The sequence below is a fragment of the Homo sapiens genome, chromosome 4 (assembly GCF_000001405.40).
Source record: "Homo sapiens chromosome 4, GRCh38.p14 Primary Assembly".
NCBI lineage: Eukaryota > Metazoa > Chordata > Mammalia > Primates > Hominidae > Homo > Homo sapiens.
The window spans coordinates 21634802-21654752 of NC_000004.12; the positions used below are offsets into that span (position 1 = coordinate 21634802).

Below are 19951 nucleotides of genomic sequence, written 5' to 3' on the forward strand. Positions count from 1 at the left end.
GCCAACTCTGAACAGAATATTATAACCAATATATCACATTTCCCTTTAAAGAACTCACATTTTATAGTCAATTAATAATCTCCATTTTGAAGCAAATTTATAAGAATAGCAACTGATGCACTGTATTTAAAAATATAAACAAAATCTTCAGAATACACCTTAATAATCCAGATTACAAAATTGTATTCACTTTATTTTGCTTCTCCAGATTTAAAAATGAAGAGAGCAAAGGCTGGGAAAGTTAGTCATCTAAAATTCTATCTTCTTTTGTCAAAACAATATAACACAAATATAAAGTTATTTTAAAATAAATTGTTCTGGCAAATTGGTACCCTGACCCAACGAGGAGGTTATGAAATCCAGTACCCCTCCATACTTCATTGAAACTTACTCAAATTACTGCAGTAGATTTTCCACTCTTGGAAAATGAGCAAATAAATGGCAGCATCCTTTCTAATGTCAATTCTCGACATTCTGATTAAAGTTCTGTTTTAAGTGCCCAGATACATTAAATCAACCCATTGTTTTCCATCCTTACAGATAGCCCAGAGTTCTAGAGAAGGATGGCGACTACAAAGAAATCAATCATCAGGATGTGCTTCTTTTAACACATAATGCTGTTGGTTAATTGGGTTTTTTGAAAGAATCTGGAAAGATCCATCAAAAAGTGGGCGAAGGACATGAACAGACACTTCTCAAAAGAAGACATTTATGCAGCCAAAAAACACATGAAAAAATGCTCATCATCACTGGCCATCAGAGAAATGCAAATCAAAACCACAATGAGATACCACCTCACACCAGTTAGAATGGCAATCATTAAAAAGTCAGGAAACAACAGGTGCTGGAGAGGATGTGGAGAAATAGGAACACTTTTACACTGTTCGTGGGACTGTAAACTAGTTCAACCATTGTGGAAGTCAGTGTGGCGATTCCTCAGGGATCTAGAACTGGAAATACCATTTGATGCAGCCATCCCATTACTGGGTATATACCCAAAGGACTATAAATCATGCTGCTATAAAGACACATGCACACGTATGTTTATTGCGGCATTATTCACAATAGCAAAGACTTGGAACCAACCCAAATGTCCAACAATGATAGACTGGATTAAGAAAATGTGGCACACATACACCATGGAATACTATGCAGCCATAAAAAATGATGAGTTCATGTCCTTTGTAGGGACATGGATGAAATTGGAAATCATCATTGTCAGTAAACTATCACAAGAACAAAAAACCAAACACCACATATTCTCACTCATAGGTGGGAATTGAACAATGAGATCACATGGACACAGGAAGGGGAATATCACACTCTGGGGACTGTTGTGGGGTGGGGGGAGGGGGGAGGGATAGCATTAGGTGATATACCTAACGCTAGATGACGAGTTAGTGGGTGCAGCGCACCAGCATGGGCACATGTATACATATGTAACTAACCTGCACAATGTGCACATGTACCCTAGAACTTAAAGTATAATAAAAAAAAAGGAAAAAAAAAAAAGAAAGAATCTGATATAAATTTGGACTTGCATTCAAAGTCCCTGACAGAACTACTGCCAAGAAACGGAAAAGTAATGTTTTCCTAAAACTATTACTTGAAAATCTTGAAAGAAATGACTTATGCATAAGTATTTAATAGTTTTCCTATGTGAAGAGCTGCCAAGACCCAGGCAGCACTAAAAAATGGAACCTTTCTATTGTACATTGTACTTAAACACCTGGTGTGGAGGCCACATTTTTTCCTGCTGTGTGGCAGACAATGAAGTGTAATACTGACATTCTCTCTGAAACTCTCCAAGATCTACTAAATAATTCCCTGTGTAGAGGTAGAAAGTTCACCTAAGAAACTCCCAAAAGGCACATAACCTCAGTCAAGTATTAGATCTTACTTTTTCTAACAGAAGCTAGAGAGCAAAGAGAAAACAACTGATTTCTTCACAATGGCAAATAAGAAATAATATAACAGAAACCATTCTACATGAGTCCAAAGCAGAAGCTACAACAAATTACTTAACACAAAGCAATAGCAACTGGGCAATTCGACAGAATTGTGAATCCACGCCATGAATTCATGGCATCATTTTACTAAAAAACACAACAGTGGATGGCAGTCTTTAGGATATATCTTGATGGACACTAGGAAACATTTAATAATAGTTGTTGCCTGTTGTTTTGCTATTTTTTGTTACTCAAGCAGCAGCGAAGAGGGGAGTAAACTTGTGTTTACAGCTGGCTCTCTGTATTCACAGGAAATTGGTTCCGGGACCTCCTTGGGATACCAAAATCCTGGGATGCTTGAGACCTGTAGGCGCTGTGGAACCCTTGAATATGGAGGGTGGACTGTACTGATCAGCTCCTAAATGTCAAACACTTGGCACTTTATATCCGTTTTAATTCTCAAAATAGTTCTCCAGGTCGGGTATCATTATTTTAATTTTAAAGACGAGGAACCAAGTTTAAGAGAGTAAATACTTTAGGTAAATACTTTAGTAAATACTTCAGGTAATGCCACCAGCTAGTAATTGCTAGAACTAGGATTCAAGCAGCATAAATAGCTACTCACATGGGTTTATGACATGACGAGCACTGTGCTAAGCAACTTACCTGGATTGGCTCATTAAATCTTCCTCATAACTCTTCAAAAGAGGTCCTAATATTTTACTCACTTAAAAGATGAGAAAACAGGCCAGGCGCGGTGGCTTATGTAAGCATGTAATCCCAGCACTTTGGGAGACTGAGGCGGGTGGATGGCTTGCGGATAGGCATTCAAGACCAGACTGGTGAACATGGTAAAACCCTGTCTCTACTAATAATACAAAAATTAGCTGGGCATGGTGGCGCACACCTGTAATCCCAGCTACTCTGGAGGCTGAAGCAGGAGAATCGCTTGAACCCCAGAGATGGAGGTTGCAGTGAGCCAAGATCCTGCCATTGCACTCCAGCCTGGGTGACAAGAACAAAAGTCCGTCTCAAAAAAAAAAAAAAAAAAAAAGATGAGAAAACAAAATTTTGGAGTTGTTAAGGAGCTTGCCTAATCACACAAATCATAAGTGGCTGAACGGCAGTTCAAACTGAGAGTGTTTGACACCAGAACTCCAAGCTTTTTACTTATCATTCCATAATGTCTCCCAATTTTAATGTCCATGCTCTTTCCTCTACAGGAATGGGGCAGGGGGGAGAAAAACAGTAAAATTCACACTTTTCATTTTCTTCCTTCCTCTCATCCAATTCCTAAAAGAGTAAGACAATATAACACATCAGTACTTTTGGAGGTTCAAAAGATGCTAATGATAATTTATCTGAAGGTTTACTTCAATTGCTGAAGGAAATGTTTTCTAGAAGAAAAAGAGAGCTCAGCAGAGTACACAACTATATCCATATTGATGGATACCTGTGCAATAAATTTTCCAATCAGGGGCAAATCAAGGCCAATCATGATTCATCAGCAGCCTAAGAGACAGCATGGAGTCAGACAATTTAAAGGTACTCCACATGTCTTCTGAATTCTGGTCTGTTTCAGATGGCACTCAATGCACAGTCTAGGTTCAAAGATTTTTTTTCTCTGGCTGCACTTGGTGCAAGCTGTCAGGTCTATTTTTGGGGGTATCCTTTAGAAACACAACATAAAACTGTATAACCATGAAAAAGAAAATTCAGGAAAAAGCTGCCATTTCAAATATTTTTATGTTTTTTATCATAGTGGTGGGAGCTCTACCTTTACAAGGCAAACTGCAGCATGATCCTGGCAACCTCCCGTGTAAATGCAAGCAAATTACTAGACAACTGACATTTCTTGGGCAGCAAAGATTTCAATTTCTACACCCTGGTTTTTGGAAATTCTGTTCTGGCTAGTTGTATTTGAGGTTTTGACAGCCAAATAAATCTGCTGCAAAGAATGTTGCACATTTCATTAAAAATGCTCCATCTAGACACACATATTCTGTCTGCTATAGACCTGAATGCATGATTGTGTGAACATGTGAGACACAGAATTTCAGTCTTGAAAGATGGCTCCTCAGTGAAACTCCTTTTTTGTACAAAGAAAATTAGTTACTTGTGATAATGTTGCAAAACTAGAGCTAATAAGGTATCCAGGTGTGTTCTGATAGCAACAACAACAAAACCCTACATTCATTATATGTACTGGTTAACTGTGAGTAAAGAGTTATCTTTAAAGGAATAATTATATGAGACTTTGTCAAGGCATAAGTATAAATTATGCTGCTGATTAATTGGGTTTTAAAAGAATGTGAATAAATTTAGATGTGAATTTTAAGTTCTTGACAGAACTATTGCCCAGAAATGAGAATGTAAGAAGATTTTGGATATTTTTTTCAGGACATGAAATGATTGTTTGAATTCTTTCATCAACTGTATTTGCTTCTATTTTCTTATGCTGCCAATCAAATGAAGGCAGCAGGAAATGCAATCTATTAGACTTAATCACATAAAGTTTAAATCATATTTAACTATTCAGTTGAAGAAAAATACCAGCTAAACTAATTACAGAACTGAAAAATGGCAATGATAAAATTAAGACCCAACAAAAAGACACGAAATACCTAAGAAATTGAGAATCAACAAATCTATACAATTGTCAGTGAAGACAGTCAATCTTTGTCATTAAATAATTTTAAAGAGAATTATTTAATTATTTCTCCATCAAATGTCTTTTATATTGTATCACAATTAAAATTCTGGAGGTCTCCTTCATTAACTAGACGAAATTAAAATGATGAAAGGTCAATCTGACAAGAATATTGATAAATTGCACATAATGTTTCTTCTTGTTTCAAAAAGCAATATAAACAACTTCTAGGACATTTAATTTAAAAACTGAGAATTGAAAACTTTTAAAAATATTGTATATTCCATTATAGATAGATAGAAAAATAACTGTCTCATTCTTTTAGCTTATGGGTTCTTTGAGGATTAAAAAGAGTATCTTATTCTAATTTAGGAATTTTGCTAGTTGCTGAGTATGTCTATTCTAATTATATATTCTGGAACTGGGTAAAAAACTACAGGATAGATTTGGGGACCCACTGGACCCATTAATCATATGACTTCCATCAGCCCTACTCTGACTAGTCAACCACAGTGACATGCTTGTATCTTCTGGAATTAATAGCAGTTTAGAGTCAATGTCTAATAGTCCCCAAAGGTTCTGATTATTTCCTTTTCCCTAAAACACAGTCACCCAGTAAAAGGCCATGATTTGGGGTTAGAATTTTGTTCACTTGATCTAGAACTCTTTGACTTACACAGATCAAGTAAGAATTAGTAGCATTCCCATCCATTTAACTTCTAGGAACTCTATCATCAACTAGCCAATGCCATAGGACTGCCCATATTCAACTATTCTGATTGCCGCTTTGACTCTGCTTTCCATCATGGTAACAACACCCATCTTATCTTGGGCGACTGAGGGCTGCCACTTGGCCAGCCCCTGCCACCCCAGGATTCAATTACTCCCATTACATTTAAGTTTCCTTATTCAGTGGTAGCAGTTCCCACTGTATTTTCCGGCAGACAAAAGCAATCACAAAGCTCTTCAAGGATGCAGGGGTGCCCCTCATAAACTTGTTTTTTACACTTAGGATGAAAAGTGTGCCCTCTGGGTCATCCCAGTGTAAGTGAGCAGATCTTAAATGACACATTCAATCTAACATTCCAGTCTCCCTAAACCTTGGAATCTCTTATTCTGCAGTACAGGAAAGCAGTTCTAGCATTTCAAGTTAAATTACTGTGGGCCAGCTTCTGATCCATGTTCCAGCCAACCAACCAACCAACCAACCAACCAAACTGATACAGCCCTTTCTCAATCCCTGAGCTACAGCATTAAATTCAGAATCTCTGCTTAATGAGTTTCTTTGGATTTGGGAGGCAATACATTTCTTATTCTGGTTTGCTACCCCAGCCTAGTAACAGAATGACCCAAAAAGCTGCTAACAAGAGAAGGCTCTGCAACAGGTCTAGGCTGCCATATAGGTGCCCTGCCACTGGGGTCATATGATCCAGCAGATTCAATGGTGTTTAAATTGTTGGTGACAGATAGGGATTCTACTTAAAATCTTTGACAGGACCATACAGGACAACCATAGTGCATACTCAGAATTTCAGACCAAAGCCCTGCCACTCTCTGCAGATAACTACTTTCCTTTTGAGAAACTGCTTTTGGTCTACTACTGAGCTAAAAGCCTAACCATGGCACACCAAGTTCTTCTGCAAACTGAGCTGCTCCTCATGAACTGGCCGTTACCTGTCCTACCACCAAGGCATAAAGTTGGCTGTACACAACAGCATTCCTTCATCAAACCAAGAAGTGGTATATATGTGATCAGGCCCAAGAGGGCCCTAAATGCACAAGTTACATGAAGATGTGTCCCAAATGCCCATGGTCCCCACTATGCTATATTACTACATCTCTTACAACCTGCACCTATGGCCTCATGTGGAGTACTCCACTGTCAGTTGACAAACTTGGGTCTGGTTTACAGATGGTTGTGCATAATATACAGGCACATACAATAGACAGCCACAGCACTACAGTCCTTTTCTAGCACATACCTGAAGGATAATGGTGAAGGAAAATCCTCTCAGGCAGCAGAACCCCGAGTAGTGCATCTAGTTGTTCACTTTGTTTGGAAGGAGAAATGCAAATATATACCAATTTATGGGCTGTGGCCAATGATGGTTTCTCTGGATGGTCAAGGACTTGGAAGAAATCTGATTGGAAAATTGGTTCAAGGAAGTTTGGGGATGAGGTATGTGGATAGACATCTCTGAATGGGTGAAAATCATGAAGATATTTGTGTGCCATGTGAATGCTAACCAAAGAGAGATGTCAGGAGAGGAGGGACTTTAATAATCACATAGATAGGATGGCATGTTCTGTGGATACCAGTCAGCCTCATTTTTGCAGCCACTCTTATTGCCCAATGTATTCATAAGCAAAGTGGACATTGTAGCAGGGACGTAGGTTATGCATTGGCTCAGAAACACGAACTTCCCTCTCCAAGGCTGACCTACTTATAGCCACTGCTGAGTGCCCAATGTGCCAGCAGCAAAGACCAACACTGAGTTCTCAATATGGCACCATTCCTCAGGGTGATCAGCCAGCTACCTGGTGGCAGGTTGATTACATTGGACTGCTTCCATCATGGAAGGGGGGTAGTGCTATGTTCTTACTAGAATAGTTACTTACTCTGGATATTGATTTGCCTTTTCTGCACACGATGTTTCTGCCAACACTACCTACTATCTATAAACTTACAGAATGCCTTATGCCCTGCCATAGCATTCCACACAGCACTCCTTCTCATCAAGAAAATTACTTCATAGTAAACAAAGTGTGGCAATGAGACCACAATCATGGAATTCATAGGCCTTATCATATCCCCAACCATCCTGATGCTGCTGGTTTGACAGAAGAGTGGAATGACCTTTTGAAGACTCGGTTACAGTGTCAGCTATGAGACAGTACCTTGCAGAGCTATAGCATGATCATGGAATTCATGGGCCTTATCATATCCCCAACCATCCTGTTGCTGCTGGTTTGACAGAACAGTGGAATGACCTTTTGAAGACTCGGTTACAGTGTCAGCTATGAGACAGTACCTTGCAGAGCTGTAGCAAAGTTCTCCAGGAGTCTACATATACTTTGAATCGATATCCAAAATATGGTACTATTTCTTCCATAGCTAGAATTCATGGGTCCACAATTCAAGTGGTGAAAATGGAAATGGCTCTATTTACTATTACAACTGATGACCCATTAGCACAATTTTGCTTCCTGCTCCCATGACCTTACGCTCTGCTTGTTCAGAAGTCTTAGTTCCAAAGAGAGGAATGCTTCTAGCAGAAGACACAACACAAATTCCACTGATGTGGAAGTTAAAATTCACCTGATGACTTTGGGCTCTTCATGCCTCTGAATCAACAAGCAGGGAAGGAAGTTACAGTGCTGGCTGGGATAATTGATACTGACTACCAAAGAGAAATTGACCTGGTACTCTACAATGGAAATAAGGAAGAATATGTCTGAAATATAGAAGATCCTTAAGGCATCCCTTATTATTGCCATGTCCTGTGATTAAATTCAATATAAAACTATAACAACTCAATTTGGGCAGGACTACTAAAGGCCTAGATCCCTCAAAAATAAAGGTAAGGTGACCCTTACCAGATAAATAACTGTAACCTATTGAGGTACTTGCTGATGGCAAAGAGAATATGTAAATGGTAATGAAATAAGAGTTACAGCGATGTAACCAGTACAGAAATGGGAACTGTGTCATGTGTATTTTTCTTTGTTATTTTGTTATGAATATGTTCAAGTGTGTGCATGTGGGTATCTCAAATATCTGTTTTCTTCCCTCTCTTTTCCCCTTACCATATAACATGAGATGTATTGACTTTATATTATAGTACTTAAGTAATGTTAACTTTACATCATAGTAGTTAAGTTAGAGGACATTGAGAAGAATAATCATCAAAAAGACTTTCAAGGATTTTGCATCCTCTTTTAGGGGAAGGGTTAGTGCATTTTTAGTTGTACACAGGATAGTAGTATTAATCATGTTAAGCAAAAGTATTGCCTTGTTATTGTCTTTAATTGGAGATTAATTTTGGTTTAAGATGTATATGAGTGCCAGGTTTACAAAAATGGACTCATGATGGTTAATTTTATATGTTAACACGGTTAAATGATGGTATCCAAATATTTGGCCAAATATTATTCTAGATATTTCCATGAAGCTATTTTTTAGATGAGATTAACATTTAAATCAATGGATTTTGAGGAAAGCATATTAACCTCAATTGTGTGGATGGGCCTGATTCAACAGTTGAAGACCTTAGTAGAAGAAAACTGACCACCCTTCAGCAAGAAGAAACTCTGCAAGGAGACTGCCTTCAAACTTGAACTCTTCCCTGGGTCTCCAAGCTGCCAGACTATCCTGCAGATTTTTGACTTGTTGGCCTCCATAATTATGTGAGCCAATTGTTTGAAATAAATCTCTAGACTGATAGATGATAGATAGGTGATGATGATGATGATAGATAGATAGATAGATAGATAGATAGATAGATAGATAGATAGACTGGCAGAAAGATAGATAGATAGATATCCTACTGGTTGTGGCCCTAATTAATGTATCCCCAATGCTTTACTCATTAAATTTTAAATAAACTTTTTCTTTTTCATTTTACATATCAGAAAAGAAAAGCCTTCTAAGTTGTGTAAGGAACGGTGTCCTGGTTTTAAAAAAAAAATCAAACAAAACCTTGGAAGAGTAATTTGACATTGTAATCCTTTCATTTCACAGCAACTCCATGAACTCAAGATTGCAATGTAGTTACCATCTACAGAGATCCAGAGTCAGTTTGGATTCTACAATTGTAAATACACAAGCAGAATGAACTTCCACCTGAGAAATCACAAATCAAATCTAATATTACTTTTGGAGGAAAAGGGTTGGAGAAATTCCAATAAGGTAAGCTTACAGAACTCATGTCCAACCCAAGCTATAGAAGAGCCTTATGGAATAAACCGAAAGAACTAGATTGATGGGAGGCACAGCCTTGTTCTGTGGGAAGTGATGCATATCTTGAGGGGCATAGATCCAAATTGTAGACAAATTATATAATCTTGGCAATAAGACTTCCATTTCCAATCCTTGATTTTCACATCTGAAACCTAATGAAAGTGCAGCAGGTAAAAGCAGCAGATGAGGAAGGGGTAAGTCCATATTCGAAGCTACCCTGATCCCCTTACTGTTTCTGTGGTATTATTATTTTAGTCAACGCCTGGGTTTACTCTGGGCATCTCAGAGTCCGCTGGAATTCTGGGTGGATCCCATAAATTCTCCAATAGTTGTCTCAGTACATTTAGTAATTTATTTATACCTTAGGTTTTGTTTTGGTTTTGTTTCATTTCATTTTGGCCCTTAAAATGGGATACTGCTTGTAGTTTGTAGAAGGCTTTGTTAATTTATTTTGATTTTTGATCTCTCTATGATTTATCATATGTCTTCAAGGCATATTAAGATTCTAGGAAAGAAAACTGGTGTAGTGAATTCATTTTTCTAAGAATCATAATTTGTTATTGTTTGCAAATAAATATCTGAGACTGTGGAATCCAAGAGTATCTGAGCTTAAAGGTACCCTAGGGTACCAGAGATAACTCTTATTGAACATTACTATTTGCCAGATGTTGTATTAATATTACCTTCTTTATTCACAGAAATAATCATTAGAATAGCAATAATTACCAATTATTAAGTACTTGAGTGTGTGCATAAGCACTCATGATTTTTACTTAAAATAAAATTCATTCCAGTATAGCTGGAATGTGTTGCAAACATATTAATTCATTCAATCCTGAAGACAACCATATGAGTTGTACCATTATTTCTCCTATGTTATAGATGCGTAAAATGATACAGACAGGTTAAATAAATTGCCCATATCATACATTTAGTAAGCAATAGAACCGAAATTCAAAGCAGAGACTAGCTCCCAGGTCTGTGTTTTTAACTACTGTATTAAGCGGTTAATGGAGTTTCCTTAATAAATATACATTGTTATTATTCTCATTTAAGAGATAAACATCTGAAAGTCAAATTAGCTAAATACCTTGCAAAAGTCACTGTCCCTAAGCAATGAGTATCTGAAATACTAGTGCACTTTATTCTCGTTACAAAACCTTGAAATACTTATATGCCCATAGAAAATCTAGTGAAAATCCAGACAGATCCCAATTGTCACAGATTGGGATCAATACCACTATTCTGTCTAGGCTCTTGTGTGGGACAGTTCCCAGTCTAAGACCTCATATCTGCCTATCTCTGTGCTGTCCTTGATCGCTGAACCAAGCCCCAAACCTATACTCCACAATTTCACGTCTGTCTGGGATGCGCTGCTCAGATGGGCTGTATGAGTGGCAACACAACCACTTCAAAAACAGAGACTGTCTCCTCCTGCCATGGGTAGCAATGACCACAACTCTCAAATCATTTTGCCACTGGATACTAACATAAGAGCAAAAGACTCTATAATTAGGTGATGAATTCAGATCATTGGAGCACACATTTTACATTAAAACACTTCTGTGGCTTCACTCTCAATGGGCACACTATTTCAAATGCACTTTGTTATCTGTTGCAATATCACCAGACCTGCAGTAATATGCTCAAATCTCATTTCCTCCATGAATCCTTTTCTGATTCCTACAGTCCTACCAAGTTGTCTCTCATCTGAATCATAAAGAGCGTATCACTCACTTTATTTCTACCACCCTAATCCTTCATTGTCTTGATTTCTCCAACAAGATATTAATCTTGTCCCAAGTAAAGCCTACATTATTATCCTCCACTTGGCCTTATGCTGTCAGACTCTGTATAGTAGATTCTATAATATTGCTCCCAGTGAACTGATCAAATTGGTTGAGTTGCCAATGTAGTTCCCACTGCCCGGAATAACATCATATCCAATCAAATGTCTTTCTTGCTATCCTATTAAATGTGCTTACCTACAGAAGTTAAGTCTACCTCCTCAGTGGCTTCATCCACCTCTTCATTAATGAGTCAATATTGTTGTCTTTGTTGGTATAAAGAGTAAGAAGAAGCACATAGTGTATTTCTGTCCATACTAATATAAAGATACCGAATTGCTATATTGAATCGCTATAGAATAGCGCTAAACCAAAAATTTAGATCTCCAATCAGATGTTCTTTTTTTTTCCTACAAGATTTTAATGAAATAAATACTTTAAAAATGTCCTGGTATTTACATTTTCAATTTAACAGCCATGCCCCATGGTTGGCAAATGCAAGCGCATGGGACATGGCAATACTATAGGTGATTTGCTCTCCATTGCCCAAGTGTGGCAACCCCCACTCTCTTGGTTTGTTACTCTCCCTGGCACTATCCATGAAGTTATTAACACATGCCACTGATTATATCTATGGCAAATCAATCACATTCTACTACCCATTGCATTAAACATGAACAACTTTACCCTCTTATTTTAATAGCAAATCAGGGAGTCATTATTTAGAAGGCACAATCTCAAATGAGAAGGTAAAATTTAGATTTACAATTTTATTTTCCCCCAATTTCTTCTAATCATTCTTATTTTCCTAGAATAAAAAAAATCTAGAAAGTTTTGAGGGGAAAAAAAACCACAACAGTTTTTCAGTCTTTTGTAATTGAAAGTGAATAGAATGGTGATTTGAGGGTGCTCCAGAATCCTAAAGTATTCTAAAACAAAGACTACATTTTCCTTCTAAAAATATATGTTTAATATTAAATATATCTTTTAATCTAATTATCTTTGAGTTGCAGTTTATCTTATATCTTAATTATATTTTAGTTAGCCACCATACTATATTTATTAACCTTACCAGAAAATATAGTACATGCACATATACACATTTTTTGGAAGAAGAATAATATAAATAAATGTTGCCAGAATTCTACAGGGAAACTGATTACTACAATTTATCTTCCTAATAGCGAACTTGTCATAACAATTTTAAACATTCTTTTTCATTCTATCTCTCTTATCCTGATCTCATATTAATATGAGATCAATAAAAAAGACTGATTGGAAGGCAGGGGTGGGCACTGGCCATGGACCCTTACTCCGTGCTTATCATACACAATAATCCTCATTTTATTCCATTTTCTGAAAAAGACCTACTCCTACAGATTATTATTAAGAAGTTGACAGATAACTGAGAAACTCATGAATAGAGAAAAAATAAATTCACATCACACATCACAAAAAAGAACAATTAGCCAATTAGTCAAATTCCTTTTTGAGATCTGGGTTCTTGTCTGTTCATTGTCCCTCATCTTCCTGCTAACTAGTATTCTCTCTGTGTCCATACACAAGACATGAACTTGAAAAATCATTCTATTGTTCTCAACATTTCAGCTCTGGCCCTCAACTTACGTACCCCACTCAACCATATCACAACTCACAGAAAAATCACCACAGGCTCCTCAGGCCTGCCCCTTGGAAGACATTCTGCTACAATGATGCTTTTTTTTTTTTTTTTTTTTTTTTTTTTTAGACAGTGTCTCACTCTGGTGCCCAGGCTGGAGTGCAGTGGCGTGATCTCGGCTCATTGCAAGCTCCATCTCCCGGGTTCACGCCATTCTCCTGCCTCAGCCTCCCTAGTAGCTGGGACTACAGACGCTCGCCACCACGCCCAGCTAATTTTTTGTATTTTTAGTGGAGATGGGGTTTCACCGTGTTAGTGAGGATGGTCTCGATCTCCTGACCTCGTGATCCGCCTGCCTCGGCCTCCCAAAGTGCTGGGATTACAGGTGTGAGCCACCGCGCCTGGCCTACAATGATACTTTTAAAAAACAGATGAATACACTGATGTCCTTCATCCCTGCAAAACGAGGTAAACCATATAAAAATATACTCCAAAAATTCATTTTAAAGCAATTTCTACTTTAAGTCCAGTAAGCTGTAATGTCACATGTTTTGTATGTGGCAAGTGTTTTAATTTATTATTTAAAATGAGAATAAATGTGCAAATAAGCAGTAAGAGCTCATTGTATGAATATGTTATAGTTCAGGGAAGAAGACACTGAGACTGTGTGAGGCTCTTTATAAACTGTTTAGTAATTCCTGGACTCTGGTAAATTATGGGGAGATGCAGTTTACAGACATGGTAATATCTTGCCTGAAATGGAAAGAACTACCAGACACACCTTCCACAGTCTCAAGCTCTAAATCATAAATATGTTGAGCCAGTCGTTTACATCAATTTCAAACACGAAGGGCAGAGATTAGAGACACATTCAATAGAAAGTATAAATTGGCTGAATAATTATTTGCCAAAATTTTCATTCACATATAGATCATTTCAAGAGGAAATCAGGGTAATCAAGCATTGGCCTAACTCTGAAGTGGCAAAGTAGGGTTGTTTAGAAAGGAAAAATTCTGTCAAATTTAGCATATTTATTTTCTGTTTACATAATCTAGTAGAGGCCCCGCACATCATAGAAAGTCAAATATTTGTTCATCTGATTATGACATGATTTTAAATTCCCTTGTGTTTGCTTTATGATATATACTCCTGTCCCTCCTGTTTGAACATTTTATGGAATGTCAGTTTGGTTATAATTAATATACTCTAGCTCGTGTTCAGTATCGAGTCTATAATGACTTAACATTCTCAATCAATTTAGTGGAAGATAAAGACAGGATGTTGAAGTTCCCCTCATTCCCTGACATTATAGCTTACATTGAATGCTGAAGTACTTTTGTTTCTAGATGACCAGTTACTTATAGTTATTTTGGATTGGTCATTAGGTATATTGGAGAAATCACTGTTAAAACTGTACTGGAATGGCCTAGAGGAAAAGCATCAGAAGAGAAAGATAATTAAAAGGTATTATTACCATCATCTTTATACAGTGCTAATTTTTAACAATCATTTTTACAGTCATGTGAATGACAAGTAGATGCTATCCAGAATTCCCATCATTGGAGCCTGTATTTCATTGAATTAACACTCAACAAAAACATGCTAAGTGTCTCTTAACATTATACTACATACTGATGCTATAAGAAAGAGATAAAAATGAGAAGGATATGTAAGACAGTATGGCAATTGAAAATAAATATGTTCAAAATAAGTACCTCTCTTGGGTGGTAAAGGGATAATAGGAAGAATGGGATGTCTTATGGAGTAGTTAGTTCCCTACATCTAGGGTGTTTTCAAGCATGTGATCCATAGTGAAACAGGCCTTAAAAAGTCCCCTGTAGGGTAATAATTTGTAATTATTTATTGGCTATTTATGTCTTGTTCCTTTTATCCTCTTCACGGCTCCTTTTGCAAATGCCTGTATTTCTGTGTAGTTAAGATAAAGATAGCACTTTTTAACTTGAAGCCTTGCAAAGTGACATTTTCTCCAAATGCACTTGGTGAATTTTTTTATACAACTCTAAACTAGAGCTGAATCAACTGTAGGGAATGTGCTGAATGTCCATCCATAAAGGGAAACAAGATTAATGACCTCTAAGTGTGAATGGGCAAAAGCAATTTACAAGAGTGAGTGAGGGTCATATTTTATCACAGGCAGGTGGCTTATTCCAACTTTGCAAACAGTTACCAAAAATGCACACAACCACAAATCTTTGGCCTTTCCATCCTCACGTGAAACCATTGTGTGTGCCAGACAAATGATCCTACTATGTTTTAACCCCAAACTCAATCTGCATATGTTAATGAAGACTAAAATAGATTGCTAGAAAACTCCTTGAAGCAGAAACTAACAGAAAAAGCATTTTCCTTCCCAACCCACTCCACAGGATCTGTACTTCACCCAGCAAGAAAAGGAGCATGAAATTTTGCTTCTCACTATGTGGAAAACCCTTAATGCATGTTCTGCTAATTTTGGAATTTAAAAATTTTCTTTCACCTTGGACTTTGTCCTTGTTCCAGTGAACTGTGACTTCAAATCAGTATATCATATGGTGTTTGTTTTTATGTTTTTGGTAGTCATAGTAGGGGGTGTTAGAAGGTATGTAATATGGGAGGACACTGGTAAAATCTTTCTAGTACAAATCATAAAATAACAAAAATAAAAACACTTGTTCCAATGATATTGGATCTCTATTCTTCTCCTTGAGGTTTATGCCTCTAGCATAATTTGGGCACAGCCCACTCTAGTACTCTCTAAATAACCTGTGCAAGTTATTATACTTCTGCATATCTGAGGTCAGGAAAGAGGGGTCAGACATTTGGAACAACCAAAGGATATTAGACCTAGTAATAAAATAGAGAGCCAAAGGATATTAGCTGTCTACTGCTGCATAAAATTTTACCTAAAACTTAGTATCTTAAAACAACATGAATTTATTATCACTCAGTTTCTGCGCATCACAACTCCAGACATGAAATAACTAGGCTCTCTTGATTACGATTTCACAAGGTCAAAGTTATGATGTCAGCCAGGCTTCATTTCCATCTGGAGTTTGGGGGTCCTCTGAAAAGCTCTCGTGGTTGTAGCAGAATTTAGTTCTTTGCAATTGTAAGACAAGATGCCTATTCTTTGCTGGTTGTCAGCATGGGGCCACTCAGCTCCTTGAGGCCACCCACAGTTCTTTGCCATATGGTCTTCTCCATCTTTAAAAGTGAGCAATAGTGACTCTCCTGCTGAATCCCTTTCAGATTTCAAATCTCTGTTACCATAAAGAGCCTTGCCCTTTTAAGGGCTAGCTTGTGTAGATCAGGCCCACTGAACATGATCTCCTTTCTTTAAGTAAACTGTGCCAAATAACACAATCTAATTATGAGAGTGGTATTATGGCATTGCATCACAAGCACAGGTCTTTCTCACAGTCAAAGGGAGGATATTCTACAAGAGCATGGTTCATTGGGGCTTATTTTATAATTCTGTCTACCACATAATTCTTGAAGGGAGTATCATAAAGCCAAGGCCTGAGGCAAGGCAAGTAAGCTGCTATCTTCAGGAGGGCTGGACAGAGAAGGCAAGGAGAGGGCATAACAGGAAATATGGATGTTCACATGAGTGATGACTGCCATCTAATGAAGATTAGGGATAAAGAGGATATTTTGTCCAAGAAATGGCATTGTTAATACTCCATCTCACAACTGTTTAGAGAAATGGGAATAATTTTGTTAACTGCAATTTACCACTTCCTAATGGAAAATATTCTAGCACAGTGACCTTGTGTGCAATTGGGTGACCAAGCTGATGTCTACCAACCCTGGGTAAAGCCAATTATGAAATATGATGAATGCTGAATGACTCAAAAGGGCTTTACATAATTAGCAAGAGCCAAAGAAACTAATGAATTCTTTTACAAGAACAAAACATAACAGCAACAAAACAAATAAATGAAAACAGGATGTCCTTAGAATCCTCAATATAGGTTGCAAGTTGAAGACTTTGATGGCAGACTTTCAGGATTCAAATCCTAACTTTCTAACTTACTAAGTATTTGAACTCAGGTAAGTTATTGAACTTCATTTTATGTATATAGAGCTACAGATATATACATCTATGTATATATATAGCTATGTAATACAGATATACATATAAAATGTATATATAATTTGGACAAATACCAGAAAAGTAGTTTGTATATAATACAAAGTCATTATTACTAGTTGTTTATAGTCCTCTTAATATTACTGGAACTAAAGTTTGTGTGTCTCAGCCCTAACACCGACATTGCGAAGTTCCAACAGGTCTACACCTCTAACACTTCTATATTTATTTATTTGCTCATCCATCTAATCTTCTGGATGGTAAATTTCTTAAGGTAAAAAAGTTGTGCTTCTCATTGATCTACCTTTTAGTGGACAATTTATGCTGGCTTGACTATCACACCAGCCTTAACAGTAAATCATCCTTGTAGTATAAGTTTTCAGTTGTGGCAGGCTTTGTCAGCAACTTATTCATTTTACATTTATACTTCTAGCAGAACCTGGATTCTGTTAGGGGCAACAGAGTGTCAGGCTCTTTGGCCCACCACCTCTTTTGGTACCATTTTGATGAAAAAGTATAGGGAGAAATACCTCAGGCCTTCCTGTCTAAAATGGGGATGTCAGGTGGGAGGTGGAACACCCACTTAGTGACCCAAAGGAATATTCTAGAAGACAGACACAAGCTAAAGACATTAGGCTGAAAGATGTAAGGAGCCTGAGACATTGGGGCCTGAAAACCTGCTGAAGCCATGCTGGAAAGGCTACTCCTGTGCTTGCTGATATATAAGGAAAATAAATTTTCCTTGAGCCACATGCTACAAGTGCCAAATTTTCCATTGAGCCATATGCTACAAGTGCCAGATTTCTGTTAAATGTAGCCTGGTACATGTTTTAACTGCTGCAACAGTGTATTCAGCATCGGAGGCCAAAAGATCACCAAAGAGATCACCAAAGAATACAGTTAATCCATATTAATGTCATCTTCTGCCACTTGATGATATATAATTGGATGTAGAGCCACCGTTCAAGTAATGTGAGTGGGAGCAAGAGGAAGCAAACAAGGAGAATAATGCAGTAGGATGTGCTTAAGCATAACTTCAAGCAATGTGGAGCAATCATCCATTGCTGGGCAACAGAGAAAGGTTTCCATTTAGTGTTTCATTTTGCATGTGATATGTCATATAATTCAATCCGCCTGCTGGGGAAAGGGAACCACAAACAGAAAAATGTAAATGTGGCTACAGACTTCAAGAGCACCAGACCTCTCTGGTGATATTCCACAAATTCATTATGCACCTTTAGGCAAATACTCACATACCCAGAAAAGTGTGTGTGTGTGCATGCATATTTGTGCATTGCAATGTATCTGTTTGTACATAATGATTAGCCTGTTCATTGTTGAAATTCAGACTACCACTGTTGTTAGAAACACAGACCTGGGGCACACTGCCTGGGTTAAAATTCCATTTCTACAGCTTACTTCTACAGCTTAGCAGCATAAACTCATCTTCAGGCATCAGCTTTCTTATCTGCAAAATTGGTGCAACAGATCCTGTTTCACAGGATTATTATCAGGATGAAATAATTAATATGAGGTACCCAGGACAGGAGTTGGAACAGTCTTGTACATGTTAGCTAATATCAGTTTTACAATGCCGTAGAAGTAAATATGCTCTCAATTGTGCATGTACATAATCGTGGGTATACAAACACATACATACATATTCATATATCCATCCATCTATTTCTATATAGATAAATGAAAAATCCATTGTTGTGATATGTGTAATGCTAGTTTACATGTTGTAGAGCCTTATGAATTTTAGAGTCCAGCAGCATTAACAACAGCTACTACTTATTAAATATTTACTAGGTGTCAGGGGCTGTGCATAGCACTTTACTTGCATTGTCCTGTTTAATCCTCACAACATTCAAAGATCGTAGGAAGTATTATTATAAGCACAGTAAAGGATTAGTTACTTGCCTGTGGTAACAAAACAAGCAGGCAGAGGAACTGGACTTAGAATCCAAATCCAAATCTCTCAGTCTCCAGAGACTGAATTTTTGTGCTTGATGCTGTTATTTTTATTTTTTGCTCCACTTATTAACTTAGATGACATGTCACACCTGAATAGGTTGAAGAAGTCCTCATTTAGGAAACTCAAATAAGTTTCTATTAATACTAGAAAGTACTCGAGTTAATTTCAACAAACAAATCTCTTATTTGCCATTAACCTATTTATATCCTAGGATAGTAGTGCTTGGAAAAATGTTACAACAAAGAATAGATAGCTTTATAATGAAAATCAGAAGTATTTGCTCAATCAAATGTGGATAAACTAATACTTTCTGCTCATTCACACAAGAAGCAGTCAATTTACAGTTAAGTATACAGAATGAAATGTAATAAATTTCTCTAGCATACACACTTCCCCAAACCACACAGCCCTCAGAGTATCATATAATTAGTTCCTTGCCACTTGCTGACCATTTACTTTTGCAATTGTTACTTAACTGCCTTAATCGTGTACCTGGTGCAAGGGCATTTAGTCAAGAGGATGCAATCTAAAGTGTATTCCACACTTCCACTCGCAATGGCAGGTGCCTAGGACATAGATGCATTCACCTAGGAAAAGGAGTGTCTTTTTTCTAATCAGCACTAAAGGCTGATCTTTGCTAACAAATACCTTGATTAAAATGTTTTTTTTTTTTATCTAAAGATACCTAAAGTTGTTTGATACCTCTAGATAAAAGGGCTGTGCCATCTTGTTCATCATCACCCAAGTACCTGGGGAAACACTGGGCTCATAGCAAGTGTTAAGTAAATGTTTCATTAGAAAACTGGGCCGGGTATGGTGGCTCATGCCTGTAATCCCAGCACTTTGGGACGCCGAGGCAGGCAGATCACGAGGTCAGGAGATCGAGACCATCCTGGCTAACATGGTGAAACCCCGT

At 37.4% G+C, this 19951-nt stretch overlaps 1 protein-coding gene across 5 annotated transcripts in view, besides 1 other annotated feature; it reads right to left on the reverse strand.

The window, feature by feature from the left end:
* The window catches only part of KCNIP4 (potassium voltage-gated channel interacting protein 4), a 1220167-nt gene that overhangs the window by 906196 nt on the left and 294020 nt on the right, over nucleotides 1–19951 (reverse strand). The gene's annotated exons all lie outside the window — the stretch shown is intronic.
* Nucleotides 12136–12305: an enhancer, noted in NCBI's record as "experimental_77853 CRE fragment used in MPRA reporter constructs". NCBI's record gives its function as "activates a minimal promoter by MPRAs in K562 erythroleukemia cells, with activity observed for both the introgressed and non-introgressed 4:21648645 variant alleles {active_cell/tissue: K562}" and the evidence as "EXISTENCE:reporter gene assay evidence [ECO:0000049][PMID:34662402]".